Source organism: Homo sapiens, chromosome 10 (assembly GCF_000001405.40).
Source record: "Homo sapiens chromosome 10, GRCh38.p14 Primary Assembly".
Lineage (NCBI taxonomy): Eukaryota > Metazoa > Chordata > Mammalia > Primates > Hominidae > Homo > Homo sapiens.
Window position 1 is genome coordinate 44910446 of NC_000010.11, and position 27806 is coordinate 44938251.

Genomic DNA, 27806 nt, shown 5'->3' on the forward strand with positions numbered 1-27806 from the left:
TTTTTTTCCTTATTTGGTTGTTTTGTTTTCTATCTTATATGAGCAAAGGGGTAAAAGATTTCAGAAAAACACCTGAGAGATAAATCTTAATACCATTCAATCTAGCACATCCGTTAGTAAATTAAGAATGAGGGAAAGCCCACCACTGTCCAAGTGTAAAGGCTGGGCTCCTTGAAACAGCTACAGGGACACTCCAAGTACATCAAAAACACCAATTCAGCCAAAACTTCACATTTATTTTCTGCAAAAGTTACCAAGGCTCACAGATGCCTTTGGGTTTCCCCAAGGTCACCCGGTTAATTATTGACATAGCAACTCCCCTCGCAAAACAAAGAATCAAAATGATTTCCCACGTCCCATGTTGGGATGCATGTTAATGAGGAAGGAAGGCCTCTGCGTGGCGGGGCCTGAGCTAAGTATGTCTAGTCAGAGTCCAAATCCGGGACAGATTTGAAAAGCTTTCTAATCCACCTATACGCAGAAGAATAAAGCTTGGAACTCATTTCAAAAGTTGTTTCTACTGGTGATTTAAAGACACACTCCTCTCTCCCATATGCACATAAGCACAGACCTGCAAGAGCACTGTCCCCTCCAGAGCCAGACACTACAGGCCCCCAGCAAGTGTGAAATCCAGGTGTGACTTTCTAGGCATGGCTTGGTGAGGAAGGGCCTGGCCCACTCCTTGGCTCCCTCCTCCCAGCCAGAAACGGTTAATTGCCAGCTCCAGACTGCCTCCAGCCCAGCCCTAATCGCCGATCTCAGGCGGCTGGGCTGCGCTGGGGCTGAGCGGCTCCAGCCCAGGCTGGGGTTGTGTGAGCAGCAGGAGCATTCTTCCAAGGTAATGATTAAGCTGAGTGCCTGGCAAGGGCACGGGCTGAGAGCACAGAAGGTGAGCCCTATTCACACCTCGGCCAGGCTGCGGTGGCCAGGACTGGTTTGGGAAGGCAGGGCCCCGGTGTGCAGCCACAGCCAGCAGCCTCCTACCTACACAAGGGTGTTCGGGAGCATCTCAGGGCCGAAGACTTTGCTGCCTGCCCTGCCAGGACTTTGTCCTCACCCCTGGCACCATGCAGCTCCAGGTGTTCTGGACTGGGCTGGAATACACCTGCCGGCTCCTGGGCATCACCACTGCTGCAGGTAAGACCCTGCCTCCTGGCTGCTGATCCTTGCACACTGGCACCACAGATAGGGCTGCCTGAGGGGTGGGAGGTGGCCAGGAGACAGCAGGCACATCTGGCCACTTCTGTGCTTCAATTTTTTTCCCAAGACCCCTAGAAACACTGCTCTGTAGAGCAGCAGCAAGTGCAGTGGGGTGAGCCTAGGGCTGGGGACCAGAGGGCTGGGTGCTGGATCTTTGCTTGGCAAGTCACCCTCCCTGTGACCTTGGGAAGCCTCAAGATCCTCATCTGCAAAATGATTCCAGGGGCCACCCCACCTACGCAGAGAGTTGTCATGAGATGGAGGTGGAGACAGAAGGTGAAGATAGAAAGGGCTGGGCTTCGCTGTGTATCTACAAAAGGTCAACTGAGCTCATCCTGCTTTACTCAAACCATAGCCCTACCTCATGGAGAGAGAACTCCCAGTCATGAGCAGCTCTGCCCTGGAGGGACAGGCTGAGCCTGGCTGGACGTGGAGATCACAGGCTTCCCTCGGGCCCATGCTGGACCCTGTTAACAGAACACCCTGTAGGAACCCAGACCCCTGTCTGAGGTCTGACTGCAGGAATGCACTGTGGTCTTAGCAGCAGAGATGCTTCCCAGAGATGCTGGGCTCCTTCCTTCACCCAGCAGAATCACAGGGCTGCTCAACTGGACAGGAGGGCAGACTGTTAGAGCAGAGCCCAGAGCCACCATCCTGAGCCCTGCCTGCTCGCTTCCCCAGGGCAGGCCTGACCCTTAGCCCCATTCCCCCTACAGAGCCAGGATCTGTTTTGGGGAAATGAACAGGCAGAATTCTGAGCCCTTAACTCTGAGCCACATTGTCCCTTGGGGACAAAGAGAGACACACCCCCTATCAAAGCCCTTCCCCACCACTGGGCAAAAGCTTACCCACGGGTCTTACCAAATGGGAAAGTTCTCCTAGGTCAAAATCACATAGTGCTTGTTCCTGCCCCAGCCTAGTCACTTGCGTGATATATGACCTTGGGGAGCCCCTGACCCCTCTGAGGCTGCACTTTCTGATCTGTATGATGGGGACCTGCTGGCCAGGTGTTTGGACAGATTAAGGATGCAGGAACTGAGCATGGCTAAGTGGAACTGAGGATGAAAACCTCTCAGCAGAAGCCCCCATGACACACTCCAGAGCTCAATGGGAAGCTGGGTCATTTCAGGAGCACTGGGCTGGGTTCAGCCGTGAGCTGGCCAGTGGGCTCTTCCAGCATCTAGGCCATGAGTTAGATCATGAAGGGCTGCTGGATGGTTTAACCCCACCCCTCCTGCTACAGGATGGGGCACCTGAGCTCAAATGCAGGTGGTGACCTTGCCCAAGGTCATGGTCAGAGGGACAGCCAGCCCGGAGCCCTGGTCCTTCAACTTTCACAAAGGCCAGGGCTCTGGCCAAAACCTTCCCTGTCTTCCAGAGTAGGCAGCAGGAAGAGGTTCAGAATTGCTCTGCTGAGGCTCTGAGTGGAGGCACTGAGGGAGGAGCCAGATCCAGCCACTTTCAGAACCACGTTGTCGTCTACACATAAGAGAATGATGGCCAAGACCCCCAACAAGCAAAAAAGCCATCCTGGGGAGAGGAAGGCCACCCTAAATAGGTTTCCATGTCTGTTGATCTGAGTCCACCCTGCTCCCTCTAGGCTTTGGTTTCCAAATCTGTAAAATGCCAAGAATCCCACAGTTCCCCCAGCCACACTCCACCCAGAGCTGAGGCCCACCTCCCGTCGAGAGGCTGTTCTAAGATGTATGTACCTATCCTTCTAATGGATTAGCTAGAGACAGTTTAACAGTCTGATTTATCTCAGTCACCGGAAGAGTCTGCAGCCCCTGACACTCCCATGTGCACGCACACACACACACACACACACACACAAACCCGTGCGCGCGCACATAGGGCTCGTCTTAACCACAGCCTTTATCTCCGCACAGGGACTGCTGTTAATGCTGAGAATGGGCCTCCCTCTTGGTTTTGATAGGAGATTCAGACTAAAAATAGCCATGAGCTCCCTTCTAATGGCCAGGCTTTCAAATGATCTTGCTCGGGCTTTCTAGAGTGCTGGGAGGGAGTGGGAGGCTAGAGAGAGGGGTTTGGTGTTCTTGGGCAAATCTCGAGTTTCTTCCAGCATCACTGAACTCCTGGCCTATTTCCAGTACATAGGATTTGCAAATTCCTTATTCTCCTAAGCCTCTCTTTTGTTGAAATCTTCTGTTGAGAAATCCAGGCTTCATTTACAAGGGCACTGCTGCTAGAGAGGAAATAAGACCGGAAATAGAGGGCCTCACTTTGCAGAAACCCTAGGGAGGTGGGGAGTGTGGATTTCTTAAAAGCTAGGAAGACATGTGACCCAAGGGCACTCAGAGTGTCACCTGCAGGGACCAGGCAGCTGCTAAGAGGCTACAGCCTCTCATTAGCAGCCTCTTCCCTGGACCCCCTGCAGACAGGATCAGGGCTGTCAAAAGCACTGACGGCACCTGGTGGGTGCCTCTGCCAGCATGTCAAGGCCCTATGACTGTGGATGAAGCCACAGCCTTTGGATGAAGCCTCCTTAGGATTCCTCGAAGTCCCGCAGACCATTCTTGCCCCACCTCAGTGTCCAGCCCCATATCATGAGGGGTTGTAGAGCACAGACGGATCATTGCCACCACCAAATTGGGATAAACAGGCCTCAGGTAGTTGCACCTGGGTGGAAGTGTTTCTAAAATTAGAAAATTCCCTCCCTCTGGAGCAGTCATGTGGTTTCCAGGACATAACAGACCACTCCCGCATTGTTTACACCGGGTTCATTTGCTTCACCTCCCTGGCTCAGGATGTGGGGTTGGGGGGCAGGCGCCCATGGGTCCATGTGCATGCATGCGCCCGTGTGATGTCTAAGTGCCTCAGTTGCTGAGACGCGGCATCCATTGCCGCCCATGGAAGCAGACACAGCTGGGAAATGGCACACAGGCTGTGAGCACTCCACATTCCCCTGTGCGGATGCCGGAGCTCCTGCCTGTCCATCCCTCAAAGCAGGTTCTCCCCGTGTCCACTAGAGACAGGGTAAAGATGTCCTGAGTGTGAGACTCAGGCCCCAGAGGAGGCTCAGCCCTGTGACAGGTTCTCAGCACAGACCAAATGGCAGGAAAGGGGTCCTGGGAAATGGATTTAACTGAGCCTGGAGCACAGCGGTCCAGGGCACTCCTCCCCTGTGAGATGAGAAAGGACCTGTCCCACAGCATTGGTCCCAGTTGCAGGCTAGGAAAGCAGGGTTGGCTTCCCTTTGAACTTCAGCCATCCTCTTACCCTTTAACCTCAGGGGAATCTTGAATAACTCCTTTGCCACTCCCCAGCCCCTGCTGAGGTGGCCAGGAAGAGCATGGGAAGAGCCCCCTTTGTGGGACAGAGGAGGCACCTCTCAGGCCGTCCAGGCTGGGCATGGAGGGAAGGGGAGACATGTCCCTGAGCCCCGCCTTGTAGTGAAAGCCCTCCCCTCAGGCTGTGTCCTCACACACAGATGTGCATGGGCTTCCCCATAAGAGGCTTGCTCAGAAAATGTCTCTGGGCACTTGAGCAAGGCCTCCCAATTTCCCTCAGAGCAAAGAGGCTCCAGCTTGAGGCCCCACTGCCCCATCTCCAGGGCTGAATTTCACTCTTCCAGCCTCTGCCCAGAGCAGAGGTTGCTGAGAATGAACATGATTATTTGAGTATTTACTCAAATAATACTCAAAGCCCAAGCTTTGCACTGTGTATTTTAAATGCAGTATCGCATTTCATCCTCCTGTCATTGGGAGCATCATCATGTTCATCCTCATACCCACTGTACAGGAAGGGAAACCGAGGCCTGATGGAGCGAAGCATCTTGCTCAGGGTCTCACACCAGGAAGCAAGAAGACAAAGTTCCACCTGATGATGGTCTGCTCCTGAGACTCCACTCCTAATCGTTATTTCCTCCACCTGAATCAGGATTAAAAAGCATGTCCCATAGTATTTTGATGACCCCAAGATGCAGGATGCAAAACACACAGAGGAGAGCAGGAGAGGCTTGATCAGAACTTCCCCATCCTCTACCCTCATGCTCCTGCCCTTGGTCAGTTCTGATCAGTCAGGTGGGGTCATGGTGAGGACACACGTACAGTGAAGCACATAGTCAAGGATCACCAAACACTTTCTAAATCTCAAGACACCGATATTCATTGCAGCTATCCATTCTCTATCTCAAGATTGCCACACATGCTTTAACCAGCACCACCGTGACCTTCTCTAGCCAAATCTGCTCCTGGAACCCATCTGGGGACAGACAAATCTGCACACATTTCCAGGGGGAACTATCACAGTAGGGCTTGCCTTGATGGGTCCAGAGGTGCAGGGCTGACTGCATGCATTATGGTCATTGTCTCGCTCCAGCCCCACAAATGCCTGAGACGCTAGAGTGCTGGGCTCAGTCCTATTTTACAAATGAGGAAACTGAAGCTCAGAACATTGAGGTAACCTGGCAGAGGTCACATGGCCAGGAGACAGAGGTCCGGTGTTAGAACTCCACTCTGCCCAAACACAGGGCTGTGTTATGGCAGCTCCAAAGCAAAGGGCATGGCAGAGCCAGCAGGGCATGAGGGGATGGAGGCAAAGCCATTCTGAGTGAACTCTGCTTGTCAGGCTGACGTGCTGTTTCTCACAAATTGAGTGCTTGGAATCAACCTGGAATCACTGAGGGGTTTTATTTTGTTCCAGGTTTTGACCCATTAACCTGTTTCTCTATATAATGGACACAGCCACATTTTCAACTGCTCCCATGCTTCCCACACAGTTAGAGCATTGGCTTATTAATGTACATTAGGAGAAAAGAAGTATTTAAAACCCAGCTGTTCTCATTATATTTTAAAGGATAGAGCAAATGCATAGTTTGACCTTAGCCCTGTTCAAAGCCTTCAGGAAAACAAATGCTTCTGAAGCAGCCATCTTGGGCCCTCCATGCTAATTTTACCCCTCTTACATGTATATCCCCATGACCACCTCCTGCTGTTTAAGAAAGTGTCATGCACTCCAACGCCTCGCAAGAGATTTATCACCCAAGTGAGCCCACATTGTATTTTCAGACCTTCCAAGTGAATGTTGACTGTTTTCCTTTTCTGTTACAATTGGCTCCACAAGTAAATGGAATCTGCCTCCCTCTGTTCCCCCCACCTACCACCAACAGGCAATAGGATTTGGTTCAAACATTTCTTTTTTCACAACTTTGTGCCTGTGCCTTGCTTCTAGATTTATAACAAGAAATCTGAAACTTCAATTAGGTTTCATTTACTTGGCAAACTGTTGCTGAGTCCCCAGTGATCTGCTCCTGAGACTCCACTCCTAATCGCTATTTCCTCCACCTGAATCAGGATTAAAAAGCATGTCCCATAGTATTTTGATGACCCCAAGATGCAGGATGCAGTCCAGTCCTGCATCCCCAGTCCTGAGTCCCCAGTCATGCAGCATAGACACATGGATTAGAATGGCAAGACCTTGCCCTGTGGGAGTGTATGGGCTGGACAGAGAAGCAAACTAGTAAGTGCACATCCGAGCACCAAGCACTGCAGCGTAGTGTTTGGGAGGTGGGTCTGTGTCCTGGGACAATCACTGTATCTACCCTCTGGAGTTGTGAGGGCTCAATGAAACAATGGCTAAAGTAGCAAGCTGCCTGGCACATAGATTCTCACTCAGCATGGGCTAATTTTAGAGGAACGTGCAGGGCATGGAACTGTGTAGCATGAGTTATCAGCTCCTTTTGTTGGAAGGAAGAAGAAGGAAGATCCGAGGAAAGGAGCAAAGCAGTATGTGACTCATGAGGCTGGAAGGAGGAAGGGGCTACACTGTAAAGAGCATTATACTGGGAAACATTTCCCATCACATTCTGAGCTTGGGTTGTGAAGATCAGCCCACAGGAACTTGGCTATTTCTACACCACATATAGTAAGCCAACCAGAGGAAAGATGGCAGCCCTGTTTTATTTTTCATGGGATGACAGCTCTTTCAAGATTGTCCTGGGTTCTATTCAGCCTTCTGAAGAGGGCTGTGAACAAAAAGAAATGTTGTCTGACATAAGTGGCTGACACTGTGAAGAAGGGGCTCAGGAAACCCCCAGGAGACCAGGTAAGGGTCAGATGAAGAAGCCTGATGTGTGTGGAATGGACAGAGAACAATGGGAGCATGGACAATGCTTTCTGGAAACCTGCCATGTGGATGAGTGAGCAGATGCATTCTCCCTGAACACTGAGAAGGAATAGGAAGTGAATACCTCGGTTCTCCCTGACATTGAGACCTAAAAGAAATTTCTCCTGTGGGCCTGTATAAGTTTGTTTTCACACTGCTGATAAAGACATGCCCAAGACTGGGCAATTTACAAAAGAAAGAGGTTTAATTGGACTTAGAGTTCCATGTGGCTGAGGAAGCCTCACAATCATGGTAGAAGGCCAGGAGGAGCAAGTCACATCCTACATGGATGGCAGCAGGCAAGGAGAGACAGCTTGTGTGGGGGAATTCCTCTTTTTAAAACCATCAGATCTCTTGAGATTTATTGACTATCACGAGAACAACACGTGAAAAACTTGCCCCCCTGATTCAATTACCTCCTGCTGGTCCCTCCCACAACAGGTGGGAATTCAAAATGAGATCTGGGTGGGAACACAGCCAAACCATACCAGGGTACTTACAAGGGAGATGCTATTCTACGTGGGAGACACTATCCTCAGTAGTGCCAATGAACCATATGGGTCTGCAGAGTCCTTCCTCATCACCAAAGAGTGGGGTATCAGCACAGATGGCCTCACAGGTGAATTCTACCAACACTTAAGGAAGAAATATCTATTCCACACAAACTCTTCCAGAAATTTGAAAGGAGGCAATACTTCTCAACTCATTCTATAAAATTAGTATTTATGTGGATACCAAAACCAAAGATATTACAAGAAAACTATAGACTAATATTCTTCTCAATATAGATGCAAAAATTCTAAGCAAAGTTTTAACAAATACAAATATATTGAAAGAATGATATATCATAATCAAGTGGAGTTCATCTCAGAAATGCAAGGTTGTTTTAATATTTGAAAAATCAATTAATGTAACTTACCATGTGTTATGGACTAAATGTTTGTGTCCCCCCAGCCAAATTCATATGTGGAAATCCTAACACCCAACATGATTGTATTAGGAGGTAGGGCCTTCTCTGAATGGAAATAATGCCCTTATAAAAGAGACCTGAGAGAGCTCCCTAGGCCCTTCTATCATACAATGTGCGGTAACAGTGAGAAGACAGTTTTCTATAAGGAAGGGGTCCCTCAGATACCAAATCTGCCAGCATCTTGATCTTGCATTTCCCAGCCTCCAGCACTGTAGGAAATAAATTTCTGTTGTCTATAAGGTACCCAGTATATGGGATTTGGTTATAGCAGCCGAAATGGACTAAGACATCATATTTAAAAACTAAAAAAGAAAAACCATATTATCATCTAAATAGACACAAAGTTTTAAACGAAATCCAACATTCTTTTATGATTAAAATAAAACTATCATCAGCAAACTAGTAACAGAAGGAAACTCCCTCAACCTTAAGAGGTCATTACAGAAAACATACATCTACTTAAATGTAAAAGACCAGGTGCTTCCTCCTAAGATTAGGAACAAGGCAAGGGTGTCCACTCTACCACGTCCAGTCAGCATTGTACTGGAGGTTCTAGCCAGTGCAAGAAACAGAAACAAAATGCATACAGATTGTCCAGGAAAAAGAAAAATTTTATTCACAGATGACGTTATCATCTGTAGAAAATCTAATAGAATCTACCCCAAAAGCTACTTGAGCTAATGGAGGGAATGGCAACATTGCAGAAGACAAGCTTAATATATAATAATCAACTGTATTTCCATACATTAGCAACAAACAATTAGAAAATGAAATCTTTAAAAATACAAATTATAATAGCATTGAAAATCCGAAATATTTAGGGATAAATCTGACAAAAGATGTAAAACAAACTACACTAGAAACTAGAAAACATTGCTGAGAGATAACAAAGAAAATCTAAATGAATGGAGATGCATCTTGTTGATGGGTCAGAAGGCTCAATATCGTTAAGACATCAGTTCTCCCCCAAATTGCTATACAGTTTCAATAGGAGCTCAATCTGAAGTCTCTTCCAACTGAATGTCCAGAAATATCTGCCATGAAATCCTTCCCTTTTCCCACACTGTCTCTGAACCCTGGCTCATGTATATCAGCTGAACTGATCTCCACACGTAGGTAAACCTCCCCACCATGCTTACTGTTTGCCACAACTTCTGAGCTAAGAAGCCTGTGGCTACTACCTTACTGTCCCAGTGAATTCACAGCAACTGTTTCCAGCAACTCCATAGTCTTGGAAATGGTACAAATCTAGCTTTTCACCTCTACCCTGGCGGTGACCACCTCTCCTGGACCATCCACGCCCATTGTCATCAGCCTGGAGCGTCTTTCCCTGAGGTGTCTTTGGACACCCTGAGTCCAGCAGGAGATGAGAATGAAAAGAAGCAATAAATATACGCGGTGGGTTCGGAGGCTGCCCTCAGCAACAGTGAGTACAAAATTCTCATCCAATGCCCAGGGCATCCAGTGCCAAGGTTAGTGTGGCCTCTGATGACTGTGAAGCGTCCCATGTTACCACCAAGGGCATCACAATAAATGCAAGACATATGTCACAATTCAACCCATGGAGTCAGAACGGATAAGCAACAGTGGATCATGAGGTCAGCCCTATGGCAAAAGCAGCAGCAGCCTGAGGCCAGGGGAATATCCCCTCAGTAGGCAGCCCCGCAGATGGCCCCAGCCTCAGGAACATGCTGGCCTGAGCCCCGTGGGGACCCTAGCAGGGTTATGGAGGGCTAATACAAGAGATGTGGAGATAGATGGGAGTTTGGGTCACTTATATCCCAACTGGGCTTTGAGAAGGGACCTCAAAGTAAATTAGTGAACAACAAGCAACACTGGTGCACAGGGAACAGCTTTTTGGCCACAAAAAAACCCACAAGTGTGTTAATGGGAGCAAAGGATGAGAATAAACCCTCTCCTTCCACTGGAGAATACTGATGGGAACCGCCTGCCTCTTATAATAGCTTTCCTAGCCATCGTCTGCATTTGTGCAGCACTCTCATTTACTTAGACTGAGCAGTGGTCGGCACCATTTTGCATGTTTTTATTTTCCCCATTTTCCAGAATAAGATGCAGACCAAAGAGTTAATCACTTTCCTGAGGATGCAGGACTCAGCTTTTCTGATGCAGGCCCCATATTCTTTCTGCTCTGGTGCAGCCCCCTCCTAGCTTTCGTCAACCCATGCTGAGACCAGAGCTCCAGGATGAGAAGGATACTCACACAGTGGCTGCCCTGCCCAGGGCTGTACCACAGGCTCTTGGCCCAGGATCTCTGATCTCTGCTAAGCCTGAACTACAACAAACAGCTCAGGAAAGCAACACAGAAGCAAGCCCTGGACCCTGAGAGAAGAAAGTTCTTGTACCAAGGTTGGATCTGGCCCACACAGGAGGGACAGAGACTGGAGGGAAGGAGCTAACAAGATGAGAGAGGCCAGGCTTGTCCATGAATGGCTCCATCAAGGTGCGATGCAAGGCACCTCCTGGGATCATGCAGGGAGTGAGACAGAGGCGTGGGGTGAGCTGTGCTGGAGTGGGCATAAGGTACCTCTGTTGGGCTGGGGTGAGAGTAGCTGGGGAGCCTGAGGTGGGATAATAGGGAGGGATGGAAGGAGTCAAAGGCCACTAATGGCCGTGTCAAGCAGTGCTGTTCAGTGTTCCCTTGCCCCTCCACCTGGGCAGGAAAGACAGCACAGCCGGACTGAAGCACATCTCAGGGCGATTATTTCTTGTAGAGAATTTGGTGTCATGAGGCTCTGATTCTGCGGGTAGCAGGGCCTTTGTCCCATTGTTTGTCTCCATTGATTGGCTCCTGATCATTGATCAGCTAATCCAAAAATCAGCTCTTCAGTCCCTGGTCCCAGCTCAGGGTAATGCCCTGGGGGTATCTGTTCCAGTGAGTTGCTGATTCAGGCCAACCACTTCCACACTGGACTAGCACCCTGTGAAGGCAGAGCTTCCAAGACACCAGCCCCACTGCCCTGTGAGAAGTATGGAAGGCCAGAGCGCAGGCTAAATTCCAAGAGGAGCTAGAAGCCCTCAGACTCTGGGCCTCCCAAATCTCTAGATGCCAGGGCCAGAGCTACCACTCTCAGGGCCCACGAAGGGCCTACACTGCGCCTGAGGGAGGGAGTACCACCTTGGGCTTAGACTGAAGGCCACATTAAATTACAATGAGGGCCCCCTTAATTTTAAGAGGAGCACCTCCTTCATTGTAGAACACCTCCTTAATTTAATGGCAAATATCTTCTTAGTCTTAGGGAGAACACCTCCTTAATGAATGAGCACCTCTGTAATTTTAGGAGGTGTGCCTCCCTAATTTTGAGCCCTGGTGTCCTTCTGGGCCCACTCTGCTCCTAGTTATCCGGGTGCCATAACTTCTTTGTGTTTAACAGAGAGCCCCGCCTAAATCTGAAACCTGGCAGAAACCTAAGGTCCAATTCCACAAAACAAGGAGTGGGCTGTCCTCATCCACAGGTTGAAGTGAGGCCTTTGAGAGGGCGGGGGCCCACCTGTGCAGTCTCCGGGAACAGACGCTCAGCAGACTGGAGAGGAGCTCCTTCTTACCTGTGACAATCCCATTCTTCATTCAAGCCCCCACTAAATTTCAGGCCACACTTCATGTTCACCTCCTGCCAATTCTGGAGAACAGTCCCCTGGAAAAAAAACTTTTGGGAAACTCCAGGCCCTGTGTGAAAACACTTTGGGGTCCTATATCTATGTCATGTGGAACTGTGATACCTTCCAAAAATATTTTGTTCCCAGTACAGTCCAGTTAGCACACCAGGCTAGGAGCTTCCACAGCCAGTCCCAACATGGCTCTCTGGGGTGAGTGTTGGATACGGTTCACAAAATTCCTGCAGCAAGGAATCTCACTTCTTGCTTTCTTTACTTTTTCTACTGGGAATGTTTGCAAAATGCAACTGTGGGAGGGACCTGCTTTGGATGATACAGGATTCTCCTCCACAGATCCTCTATGAAGTCTTAAGTTATAAAACCACCAATAGGATTCCATGACCCAGTGGAAGTCCCCAGACACCATCTGTATTCCTAGGAGCCTGAATCTCCAAGGCTATGGGGCAGGTGCTGCAGGACCCAGAAATGCTTACTCCTGAGGAGTCACAATATAATGTTTACTCTAAGGCGTCAGGCCAGACACAGAGACTTCTATGCCAAAAACCTCAGGTGGCTAGATGACTGAATTAGCTGCTTTTCCAGTTAACCTTGCATGGCTGCATAACAGCCCACTCTAAAACGTAGTGATGTAAGGCTACAATCATTTGATTATACTCAAAACTTTGTGATTCGGAAATTCTGGCAGAACTCAGTGGAGGCGGCTCACCTCTACTCCATGATAACTGGGGCCACAGATGGGGTCACAGGTAGGGTGGCTGGCATGGCTCACGTGGCTGAGGTGGCTCATCTGGTGCTTTGGTTCTGATTGTTGTCTGGGTCCATCACTTCCAGTCTATGTCACATCTGCTGGAGCTGGAATGTCAAAGATAACTTCTTCCATCATTTGTCCTGTGCAATGCTGAACCAGCTGGGGCTGTTGTGCCTCTCTCTCTCTCTCTTTTTCTCTCTCTCTCTCTCTCTCTCTTTCTCTTCCTTTCTCTCTTTCTCTCTCTCACTCTCATTTCTCCCTCTCACTCTTATTTCTCCCTCTCTCTTTTTACAAGTCTCTCTACAAGGCTGGCTTGGGCTTCCTCACAATATGTCGGTCTCACTCCTCAGGGATTAGCAGGTGTGTCTTCACAGCAAAACCATTCTTAGCCAATTTTCCTGAGAGATGGCAGCCAGCACATCGCTGAGAAAACTGGGAGACCTTAGAGTTGGCAGTTCCCACTTGGGAGATGTGCAGAGGAAACAAGACGTATGGAGAGGGCCTACTGTCTACATGGCGTGTGGTGGCACCTGAGTGAGGGGCAACAGGGCTGACATGCCCAGGAAGCTTCCAATCCCAGACACCTCCTGGCCAGCCCACACCTCTGCCCCCCTACTGCCCAGATAAAGTCCAAACATCAACATGCAATGGCAGGGCATGCCTTCTGCTTTATGCCTGGGAAGCCTCCTTCTCTGGGTCCCCAGACAGAACAGACCCTCCACTCTTCTGGGCCTCTATGCCAAGCGCCCTGCTGTGCCACTGGACAGTAAAGCCACCTGCACCACACCACCAGGAGCCACAGCCAGAACTGTGCTTCAAGCCCAAGTCAACAAAGAAACTAGCAGATACCCTGTGCTGGGAGAGGGAGTGGCCAGGAGCACCTGGAGCTGGTCTCTGTCCCTCAGCCACCACCAAATATCACTGAAGTCTCTCACCATCTGCACGGGGTCAGGGAGCTTTCTGAAATACCAATCTAAACACGAGTCCCTTCTGCTCACGCTGCAGAGCCCAATATTTAAGAACCCCACAGTCGCCTTGATCCACATGCACTGCCCATTGCCCCCGACTGTGCCCCTGCTTCTGCTGTTAGGGGCCCCCACACCCTGCAGTGCCTGGCCCCTCCATCTGCACAGGTCTATTCCTGCTGCTTTCCTAGTCCACTCTACCTTCATCGTTATTCATCTTCCCTGATAGTCCCACGAGTGGCCCCTCCTGTCTGGCCCCAGAGCTCCTGGGTGAGTCCCTCGTCCAGCTTGGGTTACTGCCCTCGCTGAATGCACTTTTCTCAGTCCACATCACATCTCTCCTGCTGGACTAAGCATACCACAGCCATGAGCCCAGTGCCTGGCCCAACCGGTAACCACAGAAGACCAGGTGGGCCTCGGAGAAGCGGCCAGGAGCCGCCCCCCAAGGAGGGTGGGCCTGCCGCTCCCAGCAGAGCTGCCTGAACATTGAGACCAGAGGCAAACAGAGCAGGGGACAGAGGAGGGACTCGGTGCGAGTCCGTGTTGTTTCAACCTGGCATGCTCTGCATCCAGGAACACGAACCCCAAAAGTGGGAGGACTGAGCAGAAAGCGGTGACCCGTTGGCCTGGATATCAAAGGGCTTTACAGCCTCCCATGAGCGCCCCACTGATCCTCTTCCGCCTTGGGTAAATTGAGGAGCCATACTCCTGGCTCCCCACACTCTCCTCCTCCCGCCAGGTGGCATTCCTCAGTCTCGGCAGGCAGAATCCTGCTGGCTATGGTTGGAGGGAGCTTGTGGGAGTGACCTCACGCCCCTTAGTACAAAGTGGCTGACTGGACACTGGCAAAGCTGCCAGGGCCAAGTTGGGGGAAGGAGTCACCTCTTTGCATTGATCACCTGACATCTATCAGGCACTAAGCCGTGCATTTCAGACTCCAATCCAAGCAATTTTCTCCAATCCAAGCAATGACTGTGAGTTGTAACTTATTCTGCCCCTTCCACAGATGAGAAAACACAGCTTGGATGAGTTAAGTACTTGCCACTTGTATGTAATAACACACAGAACTGGGATTTCCATCCGGCTCTCATTTCTCTGTTGCCATTTTTTTTATGCAAACCAGCACTCTCTCTACAGTGTTCCTCAAATGCCCCTCTGACCGCTGACCCTCTGTTTGTCTAAAGAGTGCAAAACAAAAGGCATCAAAATAGCTCTCCACATGCCAAACAGGTGCAGGTCAGGGAAGAAGCTGAGTTCCCAAGACCCTTTCCTGCCATCTGCTGGTCGTCTGCCACAAGCCCCCTGCAAATTGGCCAACATGACGTGTCACGTAAGTGGAGCCCATGCCTGTCCTACAGAGTGCTCAATGCAGGCATCAGCCTGGAGTCGAACACCCCTTCCCAGGCCCAGGGCAGGAAGCACTTCTTCCCCAGCCAGTGATTCACTGAGCACCCATGACACGCTTGGTATCAGTTAGCTCACTACGGTCCTCATGACCACTGTGTGCAGGAGATAATGAGGAAACTGAGACTCAGAGAGATTGGGTGACTATGCTATGAACTAGAAAATGAAAGACTGAAACTCAGGATCTGACCTGGGCCTCCATCCGTGGTTGGTTGGTTGGTTTGACTTACATTACTTACATTCTGTGTGCCTCAGTTTCCTCTATGTAAAGTGGGGATAACAAGAGTACCTTCTCATAGGACTGCTGCAATGATTAAACAAGCAAATGAATGCTGGGTGCTGATAATAGGACATGGCGAAAACCAAATAAATGGCCATTTGCCTGCACATCACACATATACTCACATACACTCACATATTCACACGTGCACATTCACACACATACACACACACTTACACACACACTCACACACATATATGCACATATATACTCACACTCACATATTCACACATGCACATTCACACACATACACTCACACACACACACTCACACACATCCACATATATAATCACACTCACATTCACACATACATTCACACATGAACTTACATACACACCCACATACACACATACATACACTCACACACTCACATATATACTCACATATACACATACACTCACACACTCACACATGTACACACACACATACACTCACACATACATGCACTCACAAGCCTACACACACACACGTGTCCACACATGCACGCACGCAGGCTGGAAAGCAGTGGGTAGCAGGAAACCGCGCACCACCTAGAGCTGGCTGCCTCCACCTGGTCTCTAGGCCCTCACTGTCCAGCATGTATCCTTGAGTGAACTACACAGGCCACTGAGCCTCACTGTCCTCCTCTGTAAAATGGAGAGAGTGGGACTCCTGTGCCACAGGCCTGCTGGAAGGGCCGGGACGTGTGCAACATGGTGTGGAAGCTCTGAAGTGCTCTGTAAGTTTTGACTCTTCAGTTAGGCTGACACTGCAGGGGGATGTGGCCCACTAGCATCATCTGTCCTCGCCCCAGGTGAGCCAGCAGGGCAGCTGGAACCTGGAGAGAGTGGGAGACTCGGTGTCCGCCTCCTGTGAACCAAGGGACTGGTGGCACGTTAATGTGGGCAGTCGCCCATGAAGCACAGCGGAGCCCCAGAGCCCTCCATCCATTGCTCAGAAAACATAACCGCCTCTTCTCACCTGCCTAGATCCAAGTGCTCTGTCCCCTTTCCCCGGCCCCATATCTCCATGATCGCCCCTCCCACCCCCCACCCCCAGAATCGAGGGATGGAGTGCTGGTAGCTTCAGTGCAAGGCTCTTCCCTGCTCTCTAGAAGAGGCATTTCAGCATTGGACGAAGGGCCCCCTTCAGCTTGAGACACCAGGCGATGGAAGCCCACACAATGTCTCTGCCAGGGAAGAGGAAGCACCAGAAGCCAGGAAGCAGCGCCACGAGCAGCAGGGAGGAGAGGCCACCCCCAGGCAGCCAGGGATGACAGCCCAGCCCACCATCTTTGACTGGGAGGAAGAGAGGATGAAGCCACCCTTCAGCACACAGCAGGGGCATCATCAGAGCCCAGAGAGAAACAGGGTCAGCATTGTAATCAGTTAGGGACAGAAAGACTTCTAGTCAGCAGGCCGATGCACTGCCCCTGCAATGTTTCTATTGGGGACTCCAAAGGTCCGTGCTGTGCTGGTTGTGGGAAGCCATGGGAGCCAGCAAATCCTTGTGAGGAGAGCACCCAGAGACAGCAAGTCTGGAAAGGCAGGTCCGAGATGAAATTCACCTATGACAGATGAAAGTTCAGCACTAACTGCCAAGAAAGGGGAGGAGGAGAGCTGAGGTTGAGCAACATTTTCTTGTCAGAGAAAAACCCCAGGAGTTTAATCAGCACTGGGTCCAAAGCAATGAGCAATGAGTGTGACCTGCCGCCACCCCTCAGCAAGCAAGACCAAGGCCACACAACAGCAACCAGTGACCCAAGCAAGAGAACAGGGCTGGGGCAGGACCCATCCACGGCCAAGCACTGAAGCCAGACACACAGCACACACTGGGGTGGGCCCCAGCACATGACAGAGAACAGCTGTGAATCAAGGGGCTGGTGCCACATTAGTGTGGGCAGTTGCTGGGGGCACTAAGGGTGGCTGCTCTGGGGAAGCTTAATCAGAAGACCTCTGGGCTTCTGCCTGGAGTTCCAGGGAGCAATCCAGGAGGCTTCCTGCTCTCTTGCACCTTGCTAGTCACAGCTGCCTGTATCATGAAGAGAAGAACCTACCTTGGCTGTCAGTCCCCAGGAAGAAGACTCACTCCACAGCCAAGGTACCCTCAACAGGGCAGTGCTGTGGTGTAGAGCACCAGGCCCACTCTTCCTTCTTCTCTTGCCCCTTAGTGTTGATCGGCGTGGGCACTGAGACCTTCCTCCAGGGCCAGTTCAAAAGCCTGGCTTTCTATCTGCTGTGAGTATGTGTGCATGTGCCACTTTTGACCTGCAAGTTCTGCTCAACTCACCCTACATCTGTCTACTCAGAATAACTCAGAGCAGTCCCCTTCCCATGTGAATTCCATCCTATCTCAGGGGTGAAGGGAGTTGAGGGGGGCTCTAGAATAGCTCCTGGTTTGTGCAGACCATCCCATAAATCAATGAATTATCCTTTCTACCCACCCAACCATCCACCAATTGATCCAGCCAGCCACCCATCTATCCATCCATCTGCCCATCCATTCGTCAGCCCACCCATCCATCCACTCACCCACCAATCTATTCATGCACCAATCCACTCATCCATCTATCCATCTATCCATCCATCCACACATCCATCCAGCTACCTATCCATCTACCCACCCACCTCTTCATCCACCTGCCCATCCATCCATCTATTCATCCATCTACCTATCCACTTGCCTATCCATCTATTCACCCACCCATCTATTTATCCATCCACCCACCCATCCATCCATCTGCCCATATATGCATACATACATACACACACCCATTCACCCATCCACCCACCCATTTATCCATCCATCTTCCAATTCATCCAGCCAGCCACTCATCTATCCATCCACCTGCTTATCCATCCATCTATGCACCTACACATCCATCCATCCATCCAACTACCCATACACCCAACCATCCATCCATCCACCCACCTATCCATTTATTCACCCATCCATCTATTCATCCATTCACTCACCCATCCATCCATACACCCACCCATCTATCTATCTACCCATCTATCTATCTATTCATTTACCCATCCATACATCTATCCATCCATCCATCCACCCACCTATCCATCCATCCATCCATCCACCTACTCATCCATACACCCACCCATCCACGCATCTCATCAATCATTTATTTATTCAGCAAATATTAATTGAGCTCTTGTTTAGAGAATGGGGAATCAGGTCAAAGAAATATATATTTGAGCTTCTCTACATGCCAAATACAGTTAAATGTCTTAATTGCATTATGTTATTTAACTTTCACAGCACTGTAGGAGAAGGGCATATTGGCCTAGTTTTACAGATGAGAAAATTCAGAAGGAGTAAGCAGGTTAGCCCACATCACCAAGCTCATGAGCAGCAGGATCCAGATTCAAACCCAAGACCCTTTTTTTCCCCAGACAATGTCTTTTCTTCTCCACTACCAGCTACCTCTGTAAGTGTGTCCTGGCAGGAAGGTGATCCCTGTGCAGTGGTGTCCCAGGGGATTAGAAGAACCTGGGTCTCTGCCCCAGCATCTCTGCAGCCCCATCCTGAGGGGCTTCTAGCAGTTTCTTCCAAATGATATAGGAAGGCTGTGTGTTCTAGCCCCCCAAATCCTGAAGAGCTTACTGAACTGAGAAGCAACAGATAACAATTTGCCAGGCTGCCCCACAAATGTCCTGTTCTGCCTACAGGGTCCACCAGGCTGTGACCTCCACTCCCCCCCCTCCTCAGGATCCACCTCTACCTTCAGGTGGCAGCTGACCTGTGCTTTTAGCAGCCTCCACCCTCCCGCCTCAGGGCAGGCCTCTTGCTGTGTTTGGGGGCTCACACCTGCCATCTCCCAGATGCGGTTCAGCCTCTGAGCCCATTTCCACACTGCCATCTAGACACACAGATCTCTCTGACAACCTTCAAGAGCTTCCACCACCTCTGGTCCACACCCTGTGCCATATTCTGGCCTCTGCCTCACTTCTTGCCACTCATGTACAGCAGGAGGCTTCTGACTCTTTTTCAAACTCACCAGCATGGCCTCGCCTCCAAGCTTCACTCATTCTGTTGGGTGCCCAAGCACCGTCCACCCATTTCCACCTGCCCAATGCCTGACACTCCTTCCTGGCATTCTGCCCTGGCAATTGTGCCCTGAGCCTGGAGCCCCTGCTGGCTGGCAGTGACTTCTCCTGGTTCTGAACACCCTCCGTGTCTAACTGACCATGTCCCTAGCCGCTGTGCACCATTGCCCTGGGATCCAGAAGCAGGCGGGCCTTCCTCCTCTCCAGTGGGTCCCTAACTCTCGGGTCAGGCCATGGCAGGTGAATGCAGGCTGCCTTCTGCCCAGAACCCTGTTTTGTCTCTGTTTTGAGGGGACCCTATGCCCATGTGGTCTCTGGGTGGTCCAGTCCAGCCTGGGGTCCCCTGCCCCTTGCTGTGCCCTGTTCTCTAACACCTGCAGGATCAGCACTCAGTACCTGCCCTGTCTGTCCCTCCCTGCCACTCAATAGCACCAGACAGGAAGTCTGAATGAGTCGCTTTATTCCCCAAGCCTTGATATACCCCTCTGTCCCAGGGCATAGAAAAAGGCAGTGGCAATTATTTTGCAAAACACGTCTTGATGTGCCTGTTAGGCACACAAGCTCTGGAGCCTGCGTGCTAGGTTCTGATCTTCCCCCTGCTACTGATAAGGGGCCATTGGTGATGGGGCAAACCTCTCTGTGCCTTAGTTTCCTCATCGGTAAACTGACAGTAATTATAGTGTTTATTATAATATAATATAGTACTTATTATAAAATTGTTGCAAGGACTAAATGAGTTGATATTTGTAAGGCCTTTAGAATTATGCCTGGCCCATAGCAATCATTACATAAATGTTAGTTATTATCATTTTAAAACCAAGGGGTAAGAGTTAGGCTCACACTGGGAGGCATAGAGACTGAGAGGAGTGGAGATCACTAAATGATCTAACTAATCACAGGGAGAGAGAAATGATAACTAGAATTGATATAATCACTGTGTGCCAAGCATGGTCCTAAGTGCTTTACAAATATCATTTAATTCTTAGAACAGTTTTACTGTTGATGCACTATAATAACCCCAGTTTACAGCTGAGGAAACTAAGACAGAGAAAGGTCACACCTCTCACCTGTGATCACACAATCTAGAAACACCCATGGCTCTGAGGAAACCCTGACCCCAAGCCACCTTCTGCACAACACTATCCACTTTCATTCCTTCATTTATTGCAATGCTCATTAATGGAGCCCAATAAGCCCGACCCACTGTGAGCCTGGGCTGTACAGAAGAATTAGACAGGGAACGCCCTCTGGGGGTTCACAGACTAGTGACTCTGGTCATATGGTACCACATGGAGAAGTAAGAGGAGGTCACCAGACAGACTGGAGAGGGAAGGGGAAGGCCTTCCAGGAAAAGCTCACTTGTGCAAAAGCCCTGTGGCACCTGATAGCTTCTTGTGTTGTCAAGGGAACATGGAGGATAGGCAGTGAGACCCTCCGTAAGTACATATTCCATTTCCAAGGATTCTGATGTGAGTCTAGGGGTGGCCTGGGAGCCATGAATTCTACACATTCCTCAGGAGATGCTGATTGCAGGATCCATGGACCACACTGGGAGCACAAGGAGCCTTTGAGGCATCCTGTATCAGGAGGAACATGATCAGATTCAGGTGTCAGGCAGCCCAGAGTGACACAGTGGGGGAGCAGGAGACAGGCCTGGGGTAAGTGAGGAAGTGGAACTGGTGCAGGGGTCCAGGGGGCAGGGCCTGAACCCAGGCAATGCCCATGAGGTCAGAGAACAGGAGCGATTTGGAAGGTATTGAAGGAATGTAATCAACAGCTCCTGGTGACTATTTGGATAATAGGAAAAGGAAGAAGGAAAGGGTCAGGAACAGGTCCAGGTTTAAGGCTGGAACACAGGCAGTGGGTGTCCATCCTGGTGACCAGCAGGTAGAAGGATGTGCCTGCCAGTGTCACACAGGGTGCCAGGTGAAGGCCATGTCACCTGCTGGCCACGGTGCCCTCCCCACCCATCTCTGAACCCCAGACCCCACCTCTCCCCAGCATGGCCCAGTCCGGAACACGCCATGTCCTGGAGACAGCCCGTGGTGAATGTTGTCTGGGGGAATCCAGGTGAGTCCATTGGCTGTAGATGTGATGTCAGGAGGCCACGTGTGAGAAGACAGCCCTCAGGAAAGCAAAGGAAGACAGAGGCGCCAGCCTCCCTCACCTGTCTCCACCTGCAGGTTTACAGGAGCCGCTGTCTCCATATGTGAAGGGGCCTACTTTGTGGCTCAGCTGCTGGCCATCTGCTTCCAGTAAGTAGTTTCCAGAGAGACCCCTCCATTGTCCACCCCAGCCCCAGACACCACAGATGTCTCCACCCAAGAGCCCACAACCAGGGGATGTCCTGCTCCTGAAGCCACTGTGGACAGGAGCCCCCCACCGAGGTACAATCAGCCTGGCCTGGAGGTGGGCACAGGCCCAAGGGGCTCCATTGCCTTCTTTGCCCTGGTCCCAACCAAGAGAACCAACTGACACAGTCATTCAGGGCCTGTCCTTGCCCAGAATCCCCAGAAAAGTCCAGCTCCCCCTCACCAGGAGCAGCCAGTCACTGGGCCCCAGTGTCTGAGCCATCTGCCATGGGGTGAGGACCCTGCAGAAGGCCCAGCTGGGAGTGAGCAGACCTGGGTTTGGGAACTGGCTCTGTCTCTTCCTAGGGCCCGGGGGCAAGTCAGGGGCAGTATGTCTCTACACCCCTTCGTGGGGCAGGAGTGCAGACCCTGCAGGATCTCGTGAGGCCCTTGCTGCTTCCCAGCCTACACTCAGTATGTGGAAGCTGTTATCGGTGAGACCGAGGACTGCGGCTCTCAGAACCTAGACACTGGTCCCTGGGTGGTCAGTGAGAGAGCCAGTCTTCAGATCCAGATGTCCCAGCACCTTGCAAGGCCACTGGCTGCCTCTCAGGCTCACCAGCCCTAAGGCAGAAAGCTTTCCCCTTTCTGCTGAATTCCACTGCCAAGCTGTGCTTGAAACTTCAGCTGGGGAGAAGGCTGGGGAGGAATGGACCCTGGATGGACTCCACCGCACCCTGCCACCACACACACGCAGGAATGGGCACCAGGGGGCACCAGTGAGCCATGGCAGTCCAGCCTGCGAGCATAAGAGAGCAGTGCTTTGGGCCACCTGGACAGCCTGAGCACTCCCTCAAAGCTAGAGGGGCAGGATGTGGCTGTGTAGAGCCCCAGCTCTAGGCCAATTCAGAGGATGGAGGCGCTGGGTCTAAAGGCAGGCACTTGCCCCCTGTGAAACATGGAGGCAGCGCCCCTGAAGGAAGCTGCTCAGCATCAGGCTTCTGCCAGGGCTATGTGTGGTCCCTGTGTATACAGTTAGAAAAGAAGCCCTTCTGGGCCAACACTGTACTGTGCCTAAGCAAGGCTGGGTGAACAGGGCACAGCTGGGTGCCAGCCTGCTCACTCACCTGGCCAAGCCTCTTATGCAGTGCACTACAAGCACAACTGTCCCAGGCAGGTGGCTCCCAAACTGCACACTTTCTCTGCATTAGTGCAGACTTCCCAGTGAGCCCTGAGCCTCCAGCTGTCTTCCTCACTAACTCATGCAGCATCCTGAGAACATTTAACTTGCTTCCCCTTCGACCAGAAAAACAGGTCTGGGCAGCCTTTCAAAAACTTGTGGACCCTCTAGAGGGACTCAGGCAAATCCACTCATTGTGGAACCCACACCAAGGACCGCTAGGGCTTTCTGTTCAGCCAGGGCCCACTGCAGAGCATGCCCACAGCAGGGCCTGGCCCAGACTCCATGGCATCCAGTCTTGCTGGGGTTTTCCTGGGACACATTATGCTAACCTGGACTCCCTCTCCCCAGGTGTCAACCAGGGTCCCTGGCAGACAGAGTAAGGGAGAAAGCCCACTGGCTGGGCTGCTTCCAGAAGTTCCTGGCCTACCTGCTGCTGTCGGTGGCCTGCTTCCTCCACCCGGTCCTGGTCTGGCACGTGACCATCCCAGGTAAGAGCACAGGGGTAGAGATATGCAGCCCCAGCACAGGTGGACTCTGAGCAGGAGGAGCTGAGCCCCTCAAAGTCTAGCTCCAGTGGTGGCTCCAGGGACCTTACCTGCCCCACTGCCCTCTCTGACCTAGAGGGTGGACATGAGGAATCATCGGAATGCCAGACATACTCCATGCTGATCAAATGGCAGGAATGTCCCAAGAAGTGCATCCTTCCTTCACAGAGCCGTACAGAAGTGGAACCGCAAAGGGGACCTCACCTTTCCTCCCACTGACCATGTGTGGTCTGAGCTTCCCAAGGGTGTGACATGGCCACTTCCCTGCCCAAACCCTTCTGAATCTCCCCAGTGCCTACTCATTCAGGTCCAAACTCCTCAGCCTGGTTTGAAAGGCACTTCAGGGTGGGACCCCAGAAAATCTTCACAGCCTCATCTCCTACTTCCACTTCACGGGTGCATACCACTGGCCAGCTGGTTTCTGGTCAGAGAACCCAGGATTTCTTGCTCCCACCTTTTCAGTTTCATCCACGACCTTTTCTGCTAGTGTCCTTCTCCTCTCTGCTCCCTATCTGTGAAAACTGTGCCCCCTCCTCATGAACCCATCTACAATACAGGGAAGACAGCCCTCCAGGGAGACCATGTTGAAAAGCAGAGCCTCCATCCTTCCTGCCATTTAGCATCCCCATCCCAGCCTCCAAGTGGACCCCCAAATCTGATGTGGGGTGTGAGGACAAGCCAGGCAAGAGGGCCAGGGCCACAGGGGCCTGTGAATGGCCACACAGCGCCGGGTTGCAGGAGCTCTGCTGCACGACATGCTTGCAAGGACTCCGGATTTTTTCCGTGACTCCTCTAGAGCCCTGACCTCTGGCTCTTTTCCAGGCTCCATGCTCATCATCACCGGCCTGGCCTACTTCCTTCTGAGCAAGCGGAAGAAGAGGAAAGCTGCCCCCGAGGTGCTGGCCTCCCCAGAGCAGTACACAGACCCCTCTAGCAGCGCTGTGAGCACCACCGGCTCTGGGGACACAGAGCAAACCTACACTTTCCATGGGGCCCTCAAGGAGGGGCCCAGCTCCCTTTTCATCCACATGAAGAGTATCCTGAAGGGGACTAAGAAGCCCAGTGCCCTCCAGCCCCCCAACACCCTGATGGAGCTGAGCCTGGAGCCAGCCGACTCCCTGGCCAAGAAGAAGCAGGTGCACTTTGAAGACAACTTGGTCCGCATAGTCCCCTCCCTCGCCGAAGGTCTGGATGATGGGGACAGTGAGCCAGAGGAGACCACCTCTGACACGACACCCATCATTCCCCCTCCCCAGGCCCCACTCTTCCTGTCATCTCTTACAGCCACCGGCCTGTTCTGAGCGCTTGCTCCAGCCTGGAGGACGCTCAGTGAGGGGTCTACCTAGCTCAATGGCCCTCCCTGGAGTTTCAGGGTCTTCTCTGGTCAGCTTTTCAAGGGGTAACCAGACACCCCCACACTGGCTGGGCCCCTGAGGCCATCAGGAGGTGTGACTGGCCAGCATTTCTGGAGAGGCCTCGAGGGAGGCACAAACAAGGCTCACGCCACCTCAAGCCAGCACAAGCTCCTTCCTCCTGGCCACAGGTGGGGAAACCCTTATGCTTCCCCAACAAGACCATCACTGCCACTGCGCACGAGGCTGCAGGTGCCATTGACTCAGCCCAGAAGGGACAGAGGATGTCTGCCCAGCAAAAGCCTCTGGGCTTTTCTTACTCCCAACCCAGGGCACAACACTCAGTGAGGAACCTATGGTCCACCCATCTCTGCAGGCCCAGGGAAGTGTCAGTAACTTAAGCATCTCTAAGGCAGAGAAGGTGGCTGTGGGTCTTGACCAACCAAGACTGCTCAGGGTCGGGAGGGGAGGCTGCAGGCCTCTGGTGGGAGCAGCCGGGCCGTGGGCCACATTCTCTGCATGCTCTAGGGCTGGGGCTGAGCTGCTCAGGAAAACAATGCCGCTCTGTGCTCACTGTGGGAAAGCCAGGCCAGATGAGCAAAGCTCATTCCAGAAACATGGCTGGGGACTTCCAGCCTCCTTACCACATGGCCTTTCCAAGATTCCAGGTTGATGATGCAAACTGAACGCAGTGAATGCCAGGGCCCAGAAGGCAATGTCTGCTGTGGGCAGGACCACAGAGGCTGCCCAGGGGTGGCACAGCACAGAGAAGTGTCAGTGCCGTGTTTAGGCACTTGGTAGCAGAATAGGTGATAAATATAAATGTCTTCAAAATGAAAGGAAGTGAGGGGGGAAGAAGAGGAGGGAAAATGGGAGGATAGGAGGAAGTGGGCAGGCAGGCAAGTTCTCTGCCATGGGGCCACGGAAGTGACAGTTAACCCAGAAGGAACAAAGACATCTGAATCAGATATTCCTTTGTAAATCTGTAAAGGATTTGCAATATAGGCTTTACTTCTAAAAATTGTTGTCGGGTCCATGAGGCTGTTGCCAGGAAGAGCACACACACCATTCTTCATGGCAACTGCAGTGAGGGAGCAGTCAGGAGGAAGAGTCCTGTGGCTTCTCAGTCCCTGTGGAGGCTAACGCAAAGCTCTGTAGAACAAGCCTTAGAGTGCATGCTCTATGGTCTAATGAGAAACTTGTGTTTGTGCTTGCACACGTTTCAATGTTCCCTACAGGATATTTTACAAAGGTATGAAAATAATGGCCAACCAGAAGCTAGTATCAGTTTGGGGCCTAAATGCAGCAGGTGTTCCTGATAAGCAGATAAGCAGAGCTCTTCCTGCAGTAGCCCAGGTCTCACCAAATGACAAATGGCTAATCAAGACACTCCTGCAAGCCCTTGATGGTGAGAGCTGCAGAGCTGTTTCTTCAGCTGCCATCAAGGCAGGACCTCAGGACCTGACTGTCTACAGTCAGGGAATAGTGAACAATATGGGATATGGGTATAGGTAGGTGGTAGACAAGGATCGTGCCCCATGGCTGATGGGCCGGGTGTCTCAGGCAGGCCCCCTGTGCACAGAAAGAGCCTAAGTGCAGAGAAGCCAGGCATCTTTCCCCTGTCAACTGTGGAAGGGGAATGTGATGGCCACAGACACCCTCATGGCACAGACATGGCCAGCCTCTGACGTTCCTCTGCATCAGAGTAGTTCTGTCCTCGAAGCCCCAGTCAGCAGAGCTGGATGACCAGATCGCAAGAAGCAAACCAGAAAGTGTGATGGCAGAGATGTCAGATCCCGTTTAATAAACACTTCAGTAAACCCAAGTGTGGAGTGTTGTTTTGGGTGTGTTTTAGAGATGTGTGTTGGGAGCACCCTTTTGGAGGTGTCTTAGTGTGTGCCGGGAGTTCCAGTGATGATGCGATGGAATTCTGAGGCACATAGGCTTCCTGGAGATTGTCATCAGTTAAGAGAGTGTCTGCTGGTGTGCAGCATTACAGGACAATTATGATCTTACCTAGGTTAGTAAAGTTCTCAAACACTCTTATGGCTACAAAACAAAAACAAAAAGCTGGAGTGAGATCATTAAATAGGCCAGAATTCTCACCCATCAGTGGACCAAGCAAGAAAGTGGCATCTTCCTCATAAGCAGATGAGCACCACGTGTCTCCATTGATTCTCAGCCTGTGACCTCTATGACCACATCCTTGTCCAGAAGAATCCCTGCAAAGCAGATGTTGTAATGATCTGCATCCTTGCCAAGAAGCAAAGACTAGAAGGACTGGCCCTGCCATGATCCCCCTCCCTACCTCAGCAGAGAGGGGAGCATTTTGTATATGAAGAACAGAGTGACAGGAAGAAGAAAGAGCACCAGGCTGAGCACCATTCGACCTCCACTAATACACGTCTGACCTTGTTCAAGCCCCTTCGCATCTCTGGCTCAGGTTCCCCTATTAAGTGCAAATCACAGCAGTAACTCAACAAGACATGGGCAAGTGCTTTTCAGAACTACAAACAAGTCACTGTGATTGCACTACATCCCTATCCCTACGGGGGACTCGCCGTGAGGGGGCACTGAGGAAGCACCACCCTGACTTGCGTCTGTGGCAAGGCCAGTTCAGGTCCAAGAGCTCCTGTCTCCACTCCAGGTTCCAGGGCTAGAGCCTGGGGAGGGTACAGCCCCCAATGCCTACCTCAGAGGAAAGTCATAGTGGACCCCACATTTCCTAGCAGCTGCACCCTGGGGGTCACACCGTGGGTCCTCTGTCTCCCTCTCCCATCAGCCCTAAGGTGGTTTTTTGTTGTTAGTTTTCTGAAATATCTTTATTGAGATATAATTCATATAACATAAAATTCACCAATTTAAAGTGTACAGCTAGGCCAGGCACAGTGGCTCATGCCTGTAATCCAAGCACTTTGGGAGTCCAAGGCGAGTGGATCACTTGAGCCCAGGAATTTGAGACCAGCCTGGGCAACATAGCAAAACCCTGTTCCTACCAAAAGTACAAAAAATTAGCCAGGCATGGTGGCACACACGTATAGTTCCAGCTACTCAAGAGGCAAAGAT

At 51.2% G+C, this 27806-nt stretch overlaps 1 protein-coding gene and 1 long non-coding RNA gene across 3 annotated transcripts in view, besides 4 other annotated features; one reads left to right on the plus strand and one right to left on the minus strand.

The window, feature by feature from the left end:
* TMEM72-AS1 (TMEM72 antisense RNA 1) overlaps positions 1 to 27806 on the minus strand; it is a 148666-nt gene that overhangs the window by 99422 nt on the left and 21438 nt on the right. Inside the window, exon 2 of the long non-coding RNA NR_033842.1 lies at positions 12636 to 12781. This is a non-coding gene — a long non-coding RNA (TMEM72 antisense RNA 1). The remainder of the gene's footprint in view (positions 1 to 12635; positions 12782 to 27806) is intronic.
* On the plus strand, positions 892 to 26565 carry TMEM72 (transmembrane protein 72). 2 transcript variants are annotated; one of them, NM_001123376.3, is made up of 5 exons: positions 892 to 1137; positions 17476 to 17542; positions 21553 to 21624; positions 23192 to 23331; positions 24211 to 26565. In NM_001123376.3, exons 1-5 carry the CDS (start codon positions 1068 to 1070, stop codon positions 24687 to 24689), a joined length of 828 nt encoding a protein of 275 aa, NP_001116848.1. In that variant the 5' UTR covers positions 892 to 1067; the 3' UTR covers positions 24690 to 26565. The 2 variants fall into 2 exon arrangements, with proteins under 2 accessions (NP_001116848.1, NP_001332855.1); NM_001345926.2 differs by lacking the exon at positions 17476 to 17542.
* Positions 7483 to 7664: a silencer, noted in NCBI's record as "fragment chr10:45413376-45413557 (GRCh37/hg19 assembly coordinates)". NCBI's record gives its function as "represses an EF-1alpha promoter that drives an FKBP-Casp9 reporter gene in an ReSE screen in K562 erythroleukemia cells {active_cell/tissue: K562}" and the evidence as "EXISTENCE:reporter gene assay evidence [ECO:0000049][PMID:32094911]".
* Positions 21915 to 22622: an enhancer, noted in NCBI's record as "H3K4me1 hESC enhancer chr10:45427808-45428515 (GRCh37/hg19 assembly coordinates)". NCBI's record gives its function as "activates a minimal SCP1, AML or CMV promoter by ChIP-STARR-seq in primed H9 embryonic stem cells {active_cell/tissue: H9 hESC(primed)}" and the evidence as "EXISTENCE:reporter gene assay evidence [ECO:0000049][PMID:30033119]".
* Positions 22623 to 23329: an enhancer, noted in NCBI's record as "H3K4me1 hESC enhancer chr10:45428516-45429222 (GRCh37/hg19 assembly coordinates)". NCBI's record gives its function as "activates a minimal SCP1, AML or CMV promoter by ChIP-STARR-seq in primed H9 embryonic stem cells {active_cell/tissue: H9 hESC(primed)}" and the evidence as "EXISTENCE:reporter gene assay evidence [ECO:0000049][PMID:30033119]".
* Positions 25136 to 25430: an enhancer, noted in NCBI's record as "tiled region #7362; HepG2 Activating DNase unmatched - State 5:Enh". NCBI's record gives its function as "activates a minimal TATA promoter and a strong SV40 promoter by Sharpr-MPRA in HepG2 cells {active_cell/tissue: HepG2}" and the evidence as "EXISTENCE:reporter gene assay evidence [ECO:0000049][PMID:27701403]".